Source organism: Homo sapiens, chromosome 12 (genome assembly GCF_000001405.40).
Source record: "Homo sapiens chromosome 12, GRCh38.p14 Primary Assembly".
Classification (NCBI taxonomy): Eukaryota; Metazoa; Chordata; class Mammalia; order Primates; family Hominidae; genus Homo; species Homo sapiens.
The window spans coordinates 69,585,188-69,604,220 of NC_000012.12; the positions used below are offsets into that span (position 1 = coordinate 69,585,188).

General features: G+C 39.5%; 1 protein-coding gene across 2 annotated transcripts, besides 1 other annotated feature; it reads left to right on the plus strand.

The window, feature by feature from the left end:
* Nucleotides 272–16,383, plus strand: CCT2 (chaperonin containing TCP1 subunit 2). Of its 2 annotated transcripts, none has more exons than NM_006431.3 (16): nt 272–337; nt 1,083–1,157; nt 1,566–1,631; nt 2,318–2,429; nt 2,743–2,819; nt 2,963–3,075; nt 4,298–4,500; nt 6,872–6,972; nt 7,789–7,916; nt 8,323–8,426; nt 11,969–12,088; nt 12,451–12,579; nt 12,781–12,884; nt 13,135–13,234; nt 14,676–14,817; nt 16,108–16,383. In NM_006431.3, the coding sequence occupies exons 1-16, from the start codon at nt 335–337 to the stop codon at nt 16,136–16,138; spliced, it is 1,608 nt and encodes a 535-aa protein (NP_006422.1). In that variant the 5' UTR covers nt 272–334; the 3' UTR covers nt 16,139–16,383. The 2 variants fall into 2 exon arrangements, with proteins under 2 accessions (NP_006422.1, NP_001185771.1); NM_001198842.2 differs by lacking the exon at nt 272–337 and adding an exon at nt 702–822.
* Nucleotides 303–642: an enhancer, noted in NCBI's record as "active region_6653". NCBI's record gives its function as "activates an Ori minimal core promoter by ATAC-STARR-seq in GM12878 lymphoblastoid cells {active_cell/tissue: GM12878}" and the evidence as "EXISTENCE:reporter gene assay evidence [ECO:0000049][PMID:35858748]".
* Nucleotides 16,384–19,033: the final 2,650 nt, after the last annotated feature.

Here is a 19,033-nt window from a genome sequence, read left to right on the forward strand (position 1 = left end):
CTTTAAACTGTGTACATGTGTGACTTTAATAGAAGTGTTTAAAGATTAAATTTAAGAAAATAAAAAGTGTGAGCAAGAACTCCATTTCTATGGCAACCCGCGCGGCAGCCGCCTCTTTGTTCTGGAGCGGCGGCCACGCCCCCTCCAGTGTGAAAGGCTGCGTTTCCGGCCCGTGGGGCTCCAATCAAAATGGGACGCCTGCTGGCGGTAACGACAGGCCGGGGCCCCGCCCCCCGAAGTAGGGCGTGTGGCGTCACTTCCGGCTTCCTTCAGTCCGCTGGTCCCGAGCACGAGCTGTGAGGGGATTCACTTGTGTGCGGAACTCCTCGGAACCATGGTGAGCCTGACTCCCCTGCCTCTTGCCCTACCCCTGCTCCGCCGTGCTCTTGCCACCCCACTGCTTCCTCTGTCCTGCTAGGGTCGTAGGCTCCGTTTCTGTCTCCCCGGCCCTCCGCACATGGTGCGAGCCATGCGCGGGGCGTGCGGCCTGCGCCAGGCCAGCCGGTGGAGCTCACCACGAGGGGGAGGGGTGGACCGCAAAGCCAGCGTCTCCTTGTGCCTAGGTCTTTGCATAGTCCCGGCAGCCCAGGTCCGCGCCTCACCCGGAGCGAAGAAATTTCTAGTGTGGGACCCGCTCCGCCCTCCTTCTAGGGGCGGAGCCTGGAGCGACGGGGTCTGAGCCATCAGAGGGTGGAGGGGCCGCAGCCTTCCGAGGGTGGAAGATGGAGGCCGCGTTCCCTCGCCCGCCCGGCAGGCGTCACCTTGATGGCCTGCAACCCCTCCCTGCCTCATTCTTAGTTCAAGATCGTCTTTAGTCTCGCTGTACGTAACTGTCAATCTCGCTGGTGTATAATTTATACTCCCGGGGGCCTTGTAAATCCGAAAAGCCATGTCGCTCTCCTACAAGTCCCTCTCTCCCACTTAAATGCTTTCTCCGATGATGGAAGCTTCATTTGATTGAAAACATTGTTGTAAATGAGTTTTCTCTTAGATGTCCACTTGTAAGACTAGTGGAAGGCACCTCAGTGTATGTGTTAGAGTATTGGTACTTAAACGGAATGCCTCTTGGTTTTCCTTTTCAGGCGTCCCTTTCCCTTGCACCTGTTAACATCTTTAAGGCAGGAGCTGATGAAGAGAGAGCAGAGACAGCTCGTCTGGTAAGCCTTGTTCTAAGCATTGTTTTAAAGATAAAACTGGAGGCCAGGCGCGGTGGCTTACTCCTGTAATCCCAGTACTTTGGGAGGCCGAGGTAGGCGGATGAACTGAGGTCAGGAGTTCGAGACCAGCCTGGCCAACATGGTAAAACCCCGTTTCTACTAGAAATACAAAAATTAGCCGGGCGTGGTGATGGGCACCTGTAATCCCAGCTACTCGGGAGGCTGAGGCAGGAGGATCGCTTGAACCCAGGAGGCGGAGGTTGCAGTGAGCTGAGATCGCGCCATTGCACTCCAGCCTGGGCGACAGAGCGACACTCTGCCTCAAAAAAAAAAAAAAGTAAATAAAGATAAAACTGTACTTGAAGACTGTAAAGTTGATTCTGATAATCTCCTTGGTTTTTACTCCAGACTTCTTTTATTGGTGCCATCGCCATTGGAGACTTGGTAAAGAGCACCTTGGGACCCAAAGGCATGGTAAGAAAAATAGAAAAGTTTTATATTTTAATATTGTTTTAGAGCGCTTGGTGGAAATATAATAACAAGCGTATTAAAATGCTTTTTAATCTTTAAAACGTTTAATTATAAAAGACAAGTATGTTCTCCTTAGTAAAAATCAGAGTCCCCAGAATCACCATCCCCAATCCCATGCCCCTCCCCAATGACAAGTACTGTTATCATTTGCACGTACATCTTCTAATATTCTGTTTATGTAGAAGTATGTGTACTTCATTATGTATTTTATACTCATGTAACATACTGTTTTATAAAACAGATACTATTTATCAATACTTTTTTGTAGCTTGCTCTTTTAAATTCCTTTCAGTGTAAGTAGATAACACTGCCCCTTTAACTGTCAAATATTATCCTGTACCTTAATTATTTTATAATTTAATTATGGCTGTATTGATAGTTTCTTTCCATTGTTTTTGCAGTTACGGTGTTGAAACAAAAACTAGTGTCTACCTGTGCTTCTAGTGTTTCTAGGGGTAGATACATGGTTTGGTTACGTGGTGTATGTATTGAAAACATTTGATGAATGGATACCACAAAATAGCTATCCAGAGTGTTTATACACTAGCACTGTGTGAGAATACTGATTGATCCATGCATTCTTCAAGATGTGCTTATGTCTTAACTTGAACCAATTATGTTCCCTTTAGGACAAAATTCTTCTAAGCAGTGGACGAGATGCCTCTCTTATGGTAACCAATGATGGTGCCACTATTCTAAAAAACATTGGTGTTGACAATCCAGCAGCTAAAGTTTTAGTTGGTAAGTCTGAATATACTTTTTCACCAACCTAATAATACTGTTTGTTAACATTTTTGAAATAACTTTATAAATAGGCTGTGTTGACCAATCGTACTGTCAATTGATGTCCACTAGTTGTTAATTATCGTTGTTAAAATACAAGCTTCAGGAGTGCCCGTATGTTGGTGGTAAAACTGTTGCATTTCAGACCTCAGAGTTCCAAATAATTTGTTGAATGAGGAACCCTGGTAAGTTTAGATTGGTAGTGAATATTTTTGGAGAATTTAGTAAGCAAAGAAGCAATTTTGAGTTAATAACTAATTTCTTTTTCTAGATATGTCAAGGGTTCAAGATGATGAAGTTGGTGATGGCACTACCTCTGTTACCGTTTTAGCAGCAGAATTATTAAGGGTAAGAGCAACTAAGCAACTCTTTTTTCCTACTGTGTTTTTGAGTATCAGAGGTAATCTAGTCCTTACTTCCTCTGTCTTTACTATTGAGGAGTGCTTAATAATTTTCTATTTATAACTTTTGTTTTATAACTTTATTAATAGGAAGCAGAATCTTTAATTGCAAAAAAGATTCATCCACAGACCATCATAGCGGGTTGGAGAGAAGCCACGAAGGCTGCAAGAGAGGCGCTGTTGAGTTCTGCAGTTGATCATGGGTTTGTATAGCAAAGTACTACTGTTCTAAACATTTAGTGTTCTTTCATAACATGCTTAATGCAAGAAATCTATAGGACACTGAAAAGCATACACAAAGATCATCTTGCTGCCTCACCCCACTCCAACAGTCAAACCTACATCAGCCTCCAGAGATAGCCACTAAAGTTAAGTTTGGGTTTTTAGTCTTTTTGTATATATCATCAAAATATACAAATAAAGCAAATAGTATAATACTGTATAGAGAATTTGTTAGCCTCTTTTTAACCTAGTTAAATATTAAGCACATTTTTGGATGTCAATTTTCTGTGCAGTATTTTAATAGAGTTACACATTTGAATATTTGGCTAGAATGACTGTATTAACCTATCTGTAGGGGGAGATTTGTGTATTTGATGATTTTTAGCATTATAAAATAACTTTGTGACGTTGCGACATAGCCCAAAGGTTTCTAGAAGTGTAATTGTTGGGTCCAAAGGTAAGTGTGTGTGTTTTAAGGCACCCCCAAACCTGGGCTGCACAGCAGGTGAGCAGCAGGTGGAAAAATTGTCTTCCCATGAAACCAGTCCCTGGTGCCAAAAAGGTCCGGGACCACTGTTTTAAGGCACTTCTATTTATTTGCCCATTCACAACTGTATAATAATACTTGTTTTTCACGTCCTTTTATTTATTTATTTATTTTGAGACGGAGTCTCGCTCTTAGAGTTGCCCAGAATGGAGTGCAGTGGCACGACTTCGGCTGACTGCAACCTCTGCCTCCCGGGTTCAAGCGATTCTCTTGCCTCAGCCTCCCAAGTAGCAGGGACTACAGGCATGTGCCATCATAGCCAGCTAATTTTGTATTTTTAGTGTAGATGGGGTTTCACCATGTTGCTCAGGCTGGTCTTGAACTGACCTCAAGTGATCCATCCTCCTCAGTCTCCCAAAGTGCTAGGATTACAGGCGTGAGCCACTGTGCCCGGCCATTTCTCACATTCTTGCCAACATTAGACTTTTGCATGCTTGTGTGGCCCCCACCCCTCTTTTTTTTTTGGCATTTTGCCAGTTTGGTGGGGAAAATAACATCTTTAATTTGTGTTTCTTGATTACTGCTGAGGTTTAATTCTTTTCATATAGCTTACAGACTTGATCAGTTAGGGTAAAATTATCTATTGACATGAATATCTAGATAAATTTTGAAAAGTAAAGTAGGGTTAATATGTATATTTGGTTGGTTTTATTTAGTTCCGATGAAGTTAAATTCCGTCAAGATTTAATGAATATTGCGGGCACAACATTATCCTCAAAACTTCTTACTCATCACAAAGACCACTTTACAAAGTTAGCTGTAGAAGCAGTTCTCAGACTGAAAGGCTCTGGCAACCTGGAGGCAATTCATATTATCAAGAAGCTAGGAGGAAGTTTGGCAGATTCCTATTTAGATGAAGGTATGTATGAATGTCAGATACAAGAAGCTTTGATTAGATGCTGAGGGCTGAATACTGAGTGAATTCTGTTTTGAGACCAGTGACCCTTTACAAAGCCAGTGAACTTGAATTTAAGGACATATCATATGTGCAACCATTTTTGTCATTTTATTGACAGTGTACTCCTCTTCCCGCGCTATTCCAGCATTGTTGATGATCTCTAGAGTTTACTTAACTACCATGAAGTTATTTGCAGTCTCTGATAAAGAGGAAATGTTTTCTTTTACTAGAAATCATCTATTCTCAAATGGTACTTTTACCAGGATTATATGTATTCTCCAGGAAGGGTCTGGGTCAGTCAAATCATTGTGTTAGCTGGTTGTTGAGGATGTACAGTTGACCATTGAACAACATGGGTTTGAATTATGTAGGTTCACAATGCAGGTTTTTTCAATAAATATAGTCAGCCCTTTGTGTCCGTGGTTTGCACATGTGCAACCGAACGTGGATGGAAAATGCAGTATTTGCAGGATTTGAAACCCATGTATATAGTGGGCCAGCTTTTCAAATCTGCTGGTTCCAGTCAGCCTGGAACTTAAGTATGTGGGGATTTTGGTGTATGTGGGCGTCTTGGAACCAGTCCCCTTCGTATACTGGGGGATGACTAGTTTTTTTTAGAAAAGAATTAAAAAAAATTTCTTTAACAAATAATTATGTATGTTTATAGGGCAAGAGGATCTAGTTCTTAAAGAGTGATAAATGAGACATAATAAGTACTGCTTTCTTAGTAGTACATTTTTGTTTAGAGTGAAGTTTTCCAGATCATCTTCACATTATATTTACTTCACAAAATGGCCTGTCAAAAAGTATAGGCATTCTTATATAGAGAAGGAAAAAAAAAGAATTAGATGGTGCTTTACAACTTCTGTTTTTACCAGTGGTTTGGAGTCCTGGTTTTGTTCTGTGTCATAGGTCTTGATTTATTTTAAGAGAGAGTCATAATTCTGAAAATACTCTTGATTAAGTTTATATACAAGAGCTGTGTAGCATTTCTTTTTTTTTTTTTTTGAGACGGAGTCTGGCTGTGTCACCCAGGCTGGAGTGCAGCAGTATGATCTCGCCTCACTGCAACCACTGCCTCCTGAGTTAAGGCGATTCTCCTGCCTCAGCCTCCTGAGTAGGTGGGATTACAGGCGTGTGCCACCATGCCTGGCTAACTTTTTTGTATTTTTAGTAGAGACGGGGTATCGCCATGTTGACCAGGCTGGTCTCGAACTCCTGACCTAAGGGGATCCACCTGCCTCAGCCTCCCAAAGTACTGGGATTACAGGCGTGAGCCACCATGCCTGGCCGCTGCGTAGCATTTCTGATAGGGGCTGGTGGTAGGGAAGGAGCATTAAAACAAGAATATTAGTAGCACAAGCAGCACCATTCTTGAATGTCTGCTCTGTACTAGGAATTGTAATAGGAACTTTAGTCATTTAGTCATCATGACCTGGTGAGTGAGGATTAGGTTCACTTGAATAGAGTAGAAAACCCAAGATAATGGTGGCTTCATAATGGAAAAGTTTCTAATGTAACCAAAAAAAGGCCTAGAAAGGTAGGTGGTACTGGGTTTGTATGATGGTTCCAAAGCAGCAGGACTAGGCTGGTAACTAGCACCTCTGCTACTGGTTACATTCCTGTTTTACAAATTAGCATTTCTGGTTGGATAATTTGTCGAAGGTTATATAGCCAGCAGCAGGGGCATGATCAGGGTCAGATTTATCTGACTCCACGGTGTCCATGGTTTTTCCATTTTTACCACCAGCCTCAATACCTGAATCTTCAATTTTTCTCTTGTGGTGGTGATTTTAAGCTAATAAAAATATAGGACTTAACCTATTGTCTTTATATTGCAACCCATACAGATGTGGGTGTAGCGTATATCTGAAACAAAAGTTTCAAAATACTGTTTAATTTTATTGTCTGTACTGTGCTCTTATATTTTCTGTTTCATATTTTTTAAGTAACCCATTAAATTGATTTTGTAATAACTCTTCTAGTGGGATGCTTTATACCAGAAGTGTCCAAGGAAGAGAATACAGTCATGGGTTCCTAGTTTCTGTTTCTGGTTGGGTCGGTAAAGCCCCTTCCTCCTCCCTCTTTTCTGCTTATCACTAGAGACAGAAACTAAAATCCATGGCTTTCAGGCGCTAAAAGCCTAAAAGCAAAACAACAACAGAATAAGGCAGGTTGGACAAGCTTGCTTTTATGCCTTCTAAGAGCTTGGTAAATTGGACTTAAATAGCTTCTTTGAAACAGTGATATGATAAAGCAGACAGCTTTTTATAAGATTTACTAAGGCTGCTTTGAAGTATTAAATATGATACTGTTCTTATATTTATTGTAGGCTTCCTGTTGGATAAAAAAATTGGAGTAAATCAACCAAAACGAATTGAAAATGCTAAAATTCTTATTGCAAATACTGGTATGGATACAGACAAAATAAAGGTATGTAACTCTACTTTTTAAAAATTAAAATTACTGCCCAGGCAGAGTGGCTCATGCCTGTAATCCTAGCAATTTGGGAGGCCAAGGTGGTGGATCATCTGAGATCAGAAGTTTGAGACCAGCCTGACCAACATGGAGAAACCCTGTCTCTACTAAAAAAAAAAAAATACAAAATTAGCTGGGCATGGTGGCGCATGCCTGTAATCCCAGCTATTCGGGAGGCTGAGGCAGGAGAATCACTTGAACCCAGGAGGCGGAGGTTGCACTGAGCCGAGATTGTGCTACTGCACTCGAGCCTGGGCAACAAGAGTGAAACTCCGTCTCAAAAGTCTCAAAAAAAAAAAAATTGCTGGATTCTATAAACTCAGGAATCAATTGCACTAAAAAGCTTGGAATAGGTATGAATCTATTGTGTATATACACATATATATACGTTGGTAAAAATGTTGAAATATGCTATGGGACTCTTTAAAAAGAGTAATGAGGCCTGGCGTGGTGGTTCACGCCTGTAATCCCAGTACTTTGGGAGGCCAGGCGGGCGGATCACAAGGTCAGGAGTTCAAGGCCAGACTGACCAATGTGAGATGGTGAAACCCTGTCTTTACTAAAAATACAAAAATTAGCTGGGTGTGGTGGCGCACACCTGTAATCCCAGCTGCTTGGAAGGCTGAGGCAGGAGAATCACTTGAACCCAGCGGGTGGAGGTTGCAGTGAGCCGAGATTGCCCCACTGCACTCCAGCCTGGGCAACAGAGCGAGACTCAATCTCAAAAAAAATAATGAAACTGATGCTCTCTTTATGCTTCGTTTGTCTTAGATATTTGGTTCCCGGGTAAGAGTTGACTCTACAGCAAAGGTTGCAGAAATAGAACATGCGGAAAAGGAAAAAATGAAGGAGAAAGTTGAACGTATTCTTAAGCATGGAATAAATTGCTTTATTAACAGGTCTGTGTTTGCTTTTAAGAAAGGATTTTTTTCCATGAAAGTTTATGGAATACTTCATATTTACTTATATTGAATTAGATTTTTTACCTAGGAACTGTCTTAGATAACTTCACTTAAATTATGGATTTTTGTAATCAGTAAATTGTGATTTATGCACACTTACAGTGACCAGAATTACGGGATTGATTTATACAGTTACTATAATAAAGAACACTTCTTTTCAATACTAGTAATGGATGCATTAGTACTATAGTTGATAAACTCTAATTATATAGGTAAGAAATGCAATCTTGTTCTAATTTGCATTTCTTTTACTTGTGGTAAAAATGTTTACATGTTTTTTAGTCTAATGTAGTTTATCTTGTAACAGTTGTGAGCATAATGTTTTCATGTATTTTATTTACAGGCAATTAATTTATAATTATCCTGAACAGCTCTTTGGTGCTGCTGGTGTCATGGCTATTGAGCATGCAGATTTTGCAGGTGTGGAACGCCTAGCTCTTGTCACAGGTATGGAAAAAAGGTATTGTTTTCTAACAAACACAATAGTCACTCTTGAATTTGTTATTTGTTACTATATGCAACTACCTTTAAGGAGTTTAGAATTTCAGCAGTTATTCTGAAATCTATTCTCTTGGATACCTTTAATTTAGATACATAGATACATTACATTTACGATACCAAGTTATATACCACATTTGCCGTAGGTATAGATTTCTTTCATTGTGTCACTGTTTTAAAGGTAGATTTTTGGCCAGGTGCAGTGGCTTGTGCCTGTAATCCCAGCACTTTGGGAGGCCGAGGCAGCCAGATCGCTTGAGCTCAGGAGTTTCAGACCAACTTTGGCAACATTGCGAACCCACATCCCTACAAAAAAAAAAAATTGGCCAGGTGTGGTGGCAAGCGCCTGTGATCCTAGCCACTTGGGGGGAGGCTGAGGGAAGAGAATCGCTTGAGCCTGGGAGGCAGAGGTTGCAGTCAGCGGAGATCGTGCCACTGCGCTCCAGCCTTGGCGACACAGTGAGACCCTGTCTCAAAAAAAAAAAAAGATATGTATATTTTTTTCTCACAAACCTGTAAGACCGTTGTTAAAATCTGAACAAACTAGAGCTTTAAAAAGTCTTAAGTCTACTTACATTTATCTAGTTCGTACATTTGTTTTTATTGCTTAGTAAGTAGTTGAATGCTTTGTGTCCTTTGTAGTAGTACAGTTACAATAGTAACCTTTATTGAACATTTACTGTGTGCTGGAGAGTGGGTCAAGTACTGAAACATTGCTTTTGTTAATTTTAAAAAATTTCTGAAAGTAATAAACGTTAGCATACGTGAAACAATCAACATTGTATAATGAAAATTAGTATACCTCAATACCCTTTAATAGAAGTATGAGTGATATAATTCCAGTTGTGTCAAATAGAAATTGTGTTTATAAATCAGACATGTCTGTCTACATCACAATGACATGAGTTCAGGCTGGTTGCGGTGGCTCATGCTTGTAATCCCAGTGCTTTGAGAGGCCAAGGCAGGAAGATTGCTTGAAGCCAGGAGTTCAAGACCAGCCTGGGCAATATAGTAAGACTGTCTCTACAAAAAATTAGCTGGGCGTGGTGGCACATGCCTGTAGTCCTAGCTACTTGGGAGGTTGAGGCAGGAGATCTCTTCAGCCCAGGAGTCCAAGGCTACAGTGAGCTGTGATCACGTCACTGCAGTCCATCCTAAGTGACAGAGCAAGACCCTGTCTTTAAAAAAAAAAAAAAAAATGCAGCTTGTTTGCTTTTTATTGTGGTAATGGTTTAAAAATTATTGTTTATTAAATTTTTACAGATTTAGGGATATAAGTATAGTTTTGTTAATGGTTTTCATAGTACACTCTAAGCCCTGGAAAATAAGTTTAACACTTTTCTAGATTTTAGGTCCTTGAAAATGAATGAATAGGTTGGAAAGTTGGTTTGGGAATGAGAATTAAGGAGACCTGGGTTATGAGTTGTGAAGTCAGTAGGGCTGTCACACTGTTTGGAACTGCCATGAATATTAGAAGAAATTATAGTGTACTAACCTTTGGAGAGTGGACTTGGTCTCATCCCAGAATGATCTCTTAAGACGTTTTTTTTAATCATTTGAGAAGCATAGTCGTCTTCTAACCAAGAGACATTTTCCTTTAATTACTTGAAGTGGGTTTACTTGCTTTAAAGTTACTTAGGAGCCATTGCGTACTTGATGCTTTAAGGTGACAAATAAACACAATTTAAGATGCTCATGTTTATGTAATTCATTCTTTAGTTCCACAAAATAAAGATGTAAGAGGCCGGGTGTGGTGGCTCACGCCTTTAATCCCAGCACTTTAGGAAGGCCTAAGTGGGCAGATCACAAGGTCTGGAGTTTGAGACCAGCCTGGTCAATATGGTGAAACCCTGTCTCTACTAAAAATAAAAAAATTAGCCAGGCGTGGTGGTGGGTGCCTGTAGTCGCAGCTACTCGGGAGGCTGAGGCAGGAGAATCACTTGAACCCGGGAGGTGGAGGTTGCAGTGAGCTGAGATTGGCGCCACTGCACTCCAGCCTGGGTGACAGAGCGAGACTCCGTCTCAAAAAAAAAAAAAAAAAAAGATGTAAGAAGTAAATGGTAATAATATATTGATGGGATAAACATATCGTAAGGTCTTGACATGAAATTGCTCTATACCCAGAAGAATGTTTATTAAGTACACCAACTGTATGTCTATGAAGGTGACCACATGGTGGCTCCCATCCTTAAAAGCTCAGTGGTTGTCAAAGGTGTATGATGACATTGGTTCTTGCAAGTGTCATTAAATAAATGTCTTGCACTGGGCATGGTGGCATGTGCCAGCAGTTTGATCTATTCAAGAGGCTGAGGCAGAAAGATTGCTTGTGCCCAGGAGGTTGTGCTATGATGGTGCCTGGTGAATAGTCATTGCGCTCCAGTCTAGGCAAGGTAGCAAGACACTCTCTCTTTAAAAAGAAAGAAAAGTCTCATGTAGAAGGATGAAGTGAAAAGTTTCATAAGCCAAGTTAGTCTTATTTTTGGATATGACGTCCCAAATATCTGTTGTGTCTCACATCTAGAACACAAAGCAGTCTCAGAATTTTGCCAGCCAAAAGTAAAAAGAACTTTATACAAATTATGAGTATAAATTAGTAGTTTCAAAGACCAGAGTCTTTATGAATTTATTATAAAATAAATAATAGAGCATTGACAGATTTATCAGTAAGGCATAGGAAAAGAAGGGTTGATTGATAATATATGCAATTCACATTATGAAAGGAGTAGTCAGCTAGAGAAAAGGATTTTGAAATGGAAACCTGACTTTTGCTTAGTTAGGAAATAGGGAACGAAGTGGCTGACCTGTTCAGTTTACAGCATGGAAGATGGAGGGAAAATAGGAATAGAAATGAGACATAAGGACTAAATTAATTTGTTCTTATTAAATTTGGTCTGGGAAATTCTTAGTATGCATTTCTTGTTTTTTTAGGCCTTAGGACATTTCATTTGTGATAATTAGAGATATCAGGTGCTTATTAAGCAGTTCATGAAGTGTATAGTGGTTGACTTATAGGACAAATATTTTCATGTCTTGTGCTGGGAATTGTATCATGAGGTCTTAGTCTTATAGGTTGGATTCAGAAGAGAATCTGAATTTAAACTCAAAAGTAACTGCTTTAAGACTCAGTTTAACCTTGGGAAGGTAGTATTGTATAGTGTGTGCTTATAGGTCTGAAGCCAGACTGCTTGAGTTTGAACCCCAGCTTTTTATATTCATCCTAGTTAGGTCTTTGGATAGGAAGGTAAACCTCTTGGCCTCATTTTTATCATGTGTAAAATGGGATAATAATGGAGCCTATCCAAGAGGATTATTTTAAAGATTAAATAATTAGTCGATATGAAGTATTTAAAAAGAGTGCCAGGAATATAATCAGCAATCAATTTTTAAAATGTGAAACACATTACCTATCATTATCTATCCATTACTGCTTATTAGAAAACAGGAATTTTAAGCCTGCTGTGCATTTAACTAATACATGTTTATGTTTATAGGTGGTGAAATTGCCTCTACCTTTGATCACCCAGAACTGGTGAAGCTTGGAAGTTGCAAACTTATCGAGGAAGTCATGATTGGAGAAGACAAACTCATTCACTTTTCTGGGGTTGCCCTTGGTGAGTGATTATGTAGATCCTGGTTAGGGTGTCTAAATTCTTGCTAGGCTCTGTTGAAGTAAAGGTTATTGTAGTTACTAGAATAGCATATCTTACAAGTCTTAACTCTTCAGAAGCATGATACATACTTTGTTTCAGTCTCTTGAGTCAACCTCATATTTACCGTGTCTTTGTGAACAGTGCATGTTCAACAGTTTTTTTTCCTTGATAACTTAGAACCATTATGAGCCTTGATTGTTGGAGAATGTATAATACAGGAAGACAGGTCAGCTTTCAGAACCCAGTAATATAACCAACACCGGCATAAATAATAGAAGGCAAACTTTTTATCCCTAAGTGGTCACTGTGTCTTTTAATTTTAGGTGAGGCTTGTACCATTGTTTTGCGTGGTGCCACTCAACAAATTTTAGATGAAGCAGAAAGATCATTGCATGATGCTCTTTGTGTTCTTGCGCAAACTGTAAAGGACTCTAGAACAGTTTATGGAGGAGGTAAGCATTTAGAAAATGTTGAATATATTTTTAATTTCTTAAAGTACAATATAAGTCATAAGTGGTTTTAATGGTTCTTACAGAAATCTTATATTGCTTTTGCACTAAATTTTAAAATGCTTGGCATATCTTAAAGTCAGTAATTCAGTATCTTGGAGACAACTAAGCATTGCAATATTTTATTGGAATTTTAATCTTTAGGCTGTTCTGAGATGTTGATGGCTCATGCTGTGACACAGCTTGCCAATAGAACACCAGGCAAAGAAGCTGTTGCAATGGAGTCTTATGCTAAAGCACTGAGAATGGTAAGTTAATCAAAATGAGAGATCCGAACTTAAGTTTTGTGGTTATTGATAGTTTTAAAATGAGTAGAAAATGAACTGGTTAATACTGCTTTTAAATTTGATTCTGGAGTTTCTCCTCTTCGTGAGCAGTAACTGAAGCAGATTTTACATTGTTCCTAAATGTATAATTTTAAAAAGCTATCCTAGTTAGGAGTAAATCAGTGGTTCTTACAGTAGAGTGAGTAGTTACTTGTTTTCTTCATTTTCATAGTTGCCAACCATCATAGCTGACAATGCAGGCTATGACAGTGCAGACCTGGTGGCACAGCTCAGGGCTGCTCACAGTGAAGGCAATACCACTGCTGGATTGGGTAAGCAATCAAGGGGAACTTTGTGGCCGTTGTTAAAAGTAACTCTTTTCACTAAGCTTTTTTTTTCTTTTGGAACATAAAGAGTTACAATAACCGTATAAAAGACTCTTTTGGACTTTGTCCTCATAATCATTACATGTGCTGGGAAAATGTGTGTGACTTTATATGCTCAGCATTTCCCAAACTTTGTTATTCCATAAGACATGTAAAACTGGTTAGAAGATTTGTAACTATTTGGTATATAACGACTATAGGATTTAAATATAAACAATACTTACATTCTGAAAAATAACATAAACTATTATGTTGTTTATACAATCAGTATTAACTTCTAATTTCATAGTAAACTTACTGCAAGATAATCTTGAGTACAGATCACAGATCTCTAGTCCATAGATAAAAGTGGCCAATGAGGCAGATTTAATTCATATTGAAAAACTTTCTGACAAGCTGTGCTGGACATTATAGAGTAGTCTTAAGAAGGTAGATAATCCTGTCATTGAACAAGAGGGAGCACCAGTTAATCTGTGAGAAAATGAAGCAGGATTCTCACAAGAAGAGAAGTTGGGTAGGTAACTTATGAATTTTCTTCCATTTGTTTTTTATTATTTGATATGTTGTCTTCTATTAATATGGGTGATCAGTAGTTGACATTATTGTTGTTATTACTATTATTATAACTGACACAATGGTCTTGCTCTGTTCCCCAGGCTGGAGTGCAGTGGCACCATGATAATTCACTGCAGCCTTGAACCCCTGGCTCAAGCAGTTCTCCTTCCTCAGCCTTCCAAGTAGTTAGGGCTAAAGGCATGTGCCACAATGCCTGACTAAATTATTTTTATTTTCTTAGAGATGGGGGGGCAGTCTCACTATGTTGTTCAGGCTGGCCTCAAGCAATCCTCCTGCCTCAGCCTCCCAAAGTGCTAGGATTATAGGTGTGAGCCACTGATCCTGGCCCCTTTTATTTTATTTATTTATTTTTTGAGATAGAGTTTCACTGTTGTTACTCAGGCTGGAGTGCAGAGGCATGATCTCAGCTCACTGCCACCTCTGCCTCCTGGGTTCAAGTGATTATCCTGCCTCAGCCTCCTGAGTAGCTGGGATTACAGGTGCCCACCACCATGCCCGGCTAATTTTTTATATTTTTAGTAGACGGGGTTTCACCATGTTTGCCAGGCTGGTCTCCAACTCCTGACCTTAGGTGATCTACCTGCCTCAGCCTCCCAAAGTGCTGGGAGTACAGATGTGAGCCGCTGCACCCGGCCCCTTTTAATTTTTTTAAAGGCTTTCTTTGAGCTCATTTGTAGGCTTATCTACCTACTGAGTAAAGTAGTTGGGTGTCCTAATTTTATTAATAGGATTAATTTTTATTATAAATCATTAGAGATGTTTTGATACTTTAGTTAAAACTGCTTTTTAGTAAATTTGTTTTTCTTTGCAGATATGAGGGAAGGCACCATTGGAGATATGGCTATCCTGGGTATAACAGAAAGTTTTCAAGTGAAGCGACAGGTTCTTCTGAGTGCAGCTGAAGCAGCAGAGGTGATTCTGCGTGTGGACAACATCATCAAAGCGGCACCCAGGTACCCTAACACTTTTCTCAGAAAAAATTACTAACAGCAAAACAAAATAGGGAGCTGTATTTATTTTATAATTAGAGTTAATGAAAAGCAGAGACAGTTTTGCCTGGATAAAAGTATGTAAGTTATTTAAAATATCACAACTCTTAACACTTAAGCCAGAAAAACTTAAGGGGAAAGAGGGATGGGCAGCTGAGGTAGCTCTTAGGATTGAAAAGGCACAGAAAGAGCCATGCTTGGAAAGGTCAAGTACTGAGGACAGTAGATGCTGTGATGCTTTCTATTGTCTTTAAACAGAATGATAGCAAAAGGAAACTGAGTTCTGTAACTAAAGTGTTCTAGGGCAAGGTCATATAGCCACACCTACTCCCAGAAATCTTCACAAGAAGTCAGTGCCCTCACCCACAGTTGAAATAACGCTTAAAAAATGTATAATACCTTGTTTGGTCTGATACTGTTTTAGAGATCAGGTATCTTTTATTAGCAAATTCTGAGTAATTTGCAATAAAGAAACTGAATTTTAACTCAGCCTTCCAGACCTACCAGACCATGGGCTTCTTTTTCATATTCCTTATTAATCTCCAGAAGACTTTTTTTTTCAGATCAGTGCCCTGTGACAGCTGCTTCATAACTCTTGACAATGGTTAGCATCCTAGTCCCCCCATAAGCTACCAAGGGTGAAAAGTTTATCTCTCTATATGATCCCTGTATAATGCTGTACTCTTTGATCTGTTCTTAAGCTTCTTCAGCTTCTCGTAACTGTTGTGTTTGCCTCTAAAAGCAGTGTTTCTCAAGCTTTAGATCCTTGAACAAGCATTAAGTACAAATTTACTAGTACCCTTATCCCATCTTTCCAAAAGATTGTTCTATGCCCCCTTATTGTATGGTCATCAAAGAATAAAAGATGAGAATAGAAGGTGCTTCTTGTTGGTGGGGGTGTCTGCAGAGTCCCAAGGCAGAACAGTCCTGATGTGGTGCAGGGCATCACACAGAGGAGGGGGCTGAGTGGCTAGCTCAGGTCTGTCTTCCTCCTCACCTAAAGCCAGCAGTCCCATCCTATATAACCCATTAGTCCATGACATAACTTGGTCACCTCTTAAAAGCCCAACTTCCAATACTGCCACATTGGGGATTCAGTTTCAATGTGAGTGTTATAGGGGACACACATGCAAACCATTGCAGAGTTATAACAGTTTTAATACAGGATTCTAGTTGTGTTTGTATTTAGTATAATACTTTGGATAAAATCATGCTCTTCATTTTTCACTATTGACTTTTTTCTTACTCTCATAGGAAACGTGTCCCTGATCACCACCCCTGTTAAGCATTCCCACGTGCTGTCGATCTTTGGACCAGTTTCTAGCAAAGTTGTGTTTGAAAGATACTCTATTAAAGAAGACTGTGGAATCTGTTTATCGGTGCCCATTATATCCTTAAGTTTGGATATTTAGCTGACCTTCGCTTTAACATAGGTCTAATTTATTTGCCGTGTCATTTTCCATACAAATCAGTTGATTTAAAAAAGTTCATTTCTCATACTGTGCATTAAAATAAAAATTTGAACAATTACTTGGTTCTTATGTCTTATATGTGTGTATTCTGTTTGAACTCTACTTAATGGAAATTAATGATTATTTTCAATATGGCATTTTCCAGCTTAATGATTGGCCATCTACATTTTTGAAATAATTATCTTGATTAATATAAGTCCAAGTCAAATGTGATAAACACGCCATATATTAATCTTTTGGTTTTGTTGCTGGGCCATAAGAACACTCAATCATGGCTGGGTGCGGTGGCTCATGCCTGTAATCCTAATATTGGGAGGCCAAGGCAGGTGGATCACTTGAGGTCAGGAGTTCAAGACCAGCCTGGGCAACATGGTGAAACCCCATCTCTACTAAAAATACAAAAATTAGCTGGGCATAGTGGTGGGCGCCTATAATCCCAGTTGCTTGGGATTTAATTTACCCATTTAATTTTGTTTAGTGAAAATGCCATAAACTAGTACTCATTTAATTTGGTGTAGTCTAAGTGCTGTCTCTTGCATTGAAAAAAATTACGATGCTTTCTGTGATGTGTTTTTTTTTTTTTTGAGATGGAGCCTCACTCTGTCCACCAGGCTGGAGTGCAGTGTGGTGCGATCTTGGCTCACTGCAACCTCCACCTTGCAGTTTCTAATGATTCTTCTGCCTCAGCTTTTCGAGTAGGTGGGATTACATGGTAGTCCACCACCATGCCCGGCTAATTTTTGTATTTTTAGTAGAGAATGGGATTTTGCCATGTTGGCCAGGCTGGTCTCTATGTTGTATGATGTTTTTAAGCTTGAAAAAGTCATATTTTAAAGTTGCAAGATGATGTGCTCTAAGTATCTTTTTTTTTCAAGACAGGATCTCACTCTGTCCTTCAGGCTAGAGTACAGTTGTGTGATCACGGCTCACTACAGCCTCTGCCTCCTGGGCTCAAGCGATTCTTTCACCCTCCCAAGTAGCTGGGACTATAGGTGCATGGCATCATGCCTGGTTGATTTTTTTTTTTTTTTTAATTGTAGAGACAGGTTTTGCTGTGCTGCCCTGGCTGGTTCTCAGCACCTCTTTCCAATGCTTTGTAAGGTAATTTCTCTGAAGAAGAGTATGGTTAGACTTAAGTATTGTTATTGATTGGGTTTTTTTTTTTTTTAAGGGTTTTTTGTTTTGGGTAAGTGGATAAGAGAATGAGAATGGGTGTAAGTATGGACTGAGTTCGCTGGTTTAAAGGCAACTCTAGATTTGGAGGCTGTTAATACTGCATCCGTATGTAGCAGAATACACAAGAAGTAAGAGACCAACAGGTTGAGTTTTTATTGGACATCTGTGCTAACATGGAGGGACATTCCCATAAAGGAGCAAAGGATTTTTAAAGAAACACTGATAGACCAAACAATTTTGTGGGAAGGGGGGGGGGAAGTTGAGACATGTAAGAATTTGTCTCAATATTTTAATATTTGTAGATGTGATTAAAACTGGAAGAATGTGGTATTAGAATTACACTGATTGAATAGCAATACCATCTGCTGTGTGATTTTTTTTAAGTGCTTTATCACACATTAATTGTAATCCTCACAACTGAGGTAGGTGGAGCAGGAGAGCATATGACAACCCACAAAGGATGTGGTGGGACAGGTGAGTTTATCCTGAGGGGCCAGATGGCATGGAGTTAGGCATATTTTCTCCAAAGACCTTAAAACAGATTGGCCAATAAAAAATATTAAAAAGGTAAAAATATGCAAACTACTATATTGAAGAAAATAGCCATACCTTGCCTTCATATATTTCAAAGCCCTTACTGATTGTTGTCTTTAGAAAAATCTCAAGTTCACAAATATCTTTCCAGTTTCAGAGGTAAGTATGACCTAGACCTAACTCCTGTTAACGGTTTTAGGATGGAGTTTTTACAATTTTAGATTTGGGGTACATGTGCTGCTTTGTTACAAGGGTATTATGTGTGATGGTGAGGGTTGAGCTTCTAGCATATCCATCACCCAAATATTGGACACCGGACCCAGTAGGTAACTTCAACCCTCATGCCTATCTTACCCTCCACACTTTGGAGTCCCCAGAGTCCATTTCGTCCATATTTGTGTCCGCATGTCACTTTTGTTTAGTTCCCACTTAAAAATGAGAACGTGATATTTGATTTTCTGCTTCTGTGTTCATTTAGGATAATGGCCTCTAGCTCCATCCGTGTTGCTGCAAAGGACATTTGTTTTTCTTTTTTATGGCTGTGTTGTATTCCATTGGTGTGTATGTACCACATTCTTTTTTTTTTTTTCTTTTTTATTATTATACTTTAAGTTTTAGGGTACATGTGCACAACGTGCAGGTTAGTTACATATGTATACATGTGCCATGCTGGTGTGCTGCACCCACTAACTCGTCATCTAGCATTAGGTATATCTCCCAATGCTATCCCTCCCCCCTCCCCCCACCCCACAACAGTCCCCAGCGTGTGATGTTCCCCTTTCTGTGTCCATGTGTTCTCATTGTTCAATTCCCACCTATGAGTGAGAATATGTGGTGTTTGGTTTTTTGTTCTTGTGATAGTTTACTGAGAATGATGATTTCCAATTTCATCCATGTCCCTACAAAGGACATGAACTCATCATTTTTAATGGCTGCATAGTATTCCATGGTGTATATGTGCCACATTTTCTTAATCCAGTCTATCATTGTTGGACATT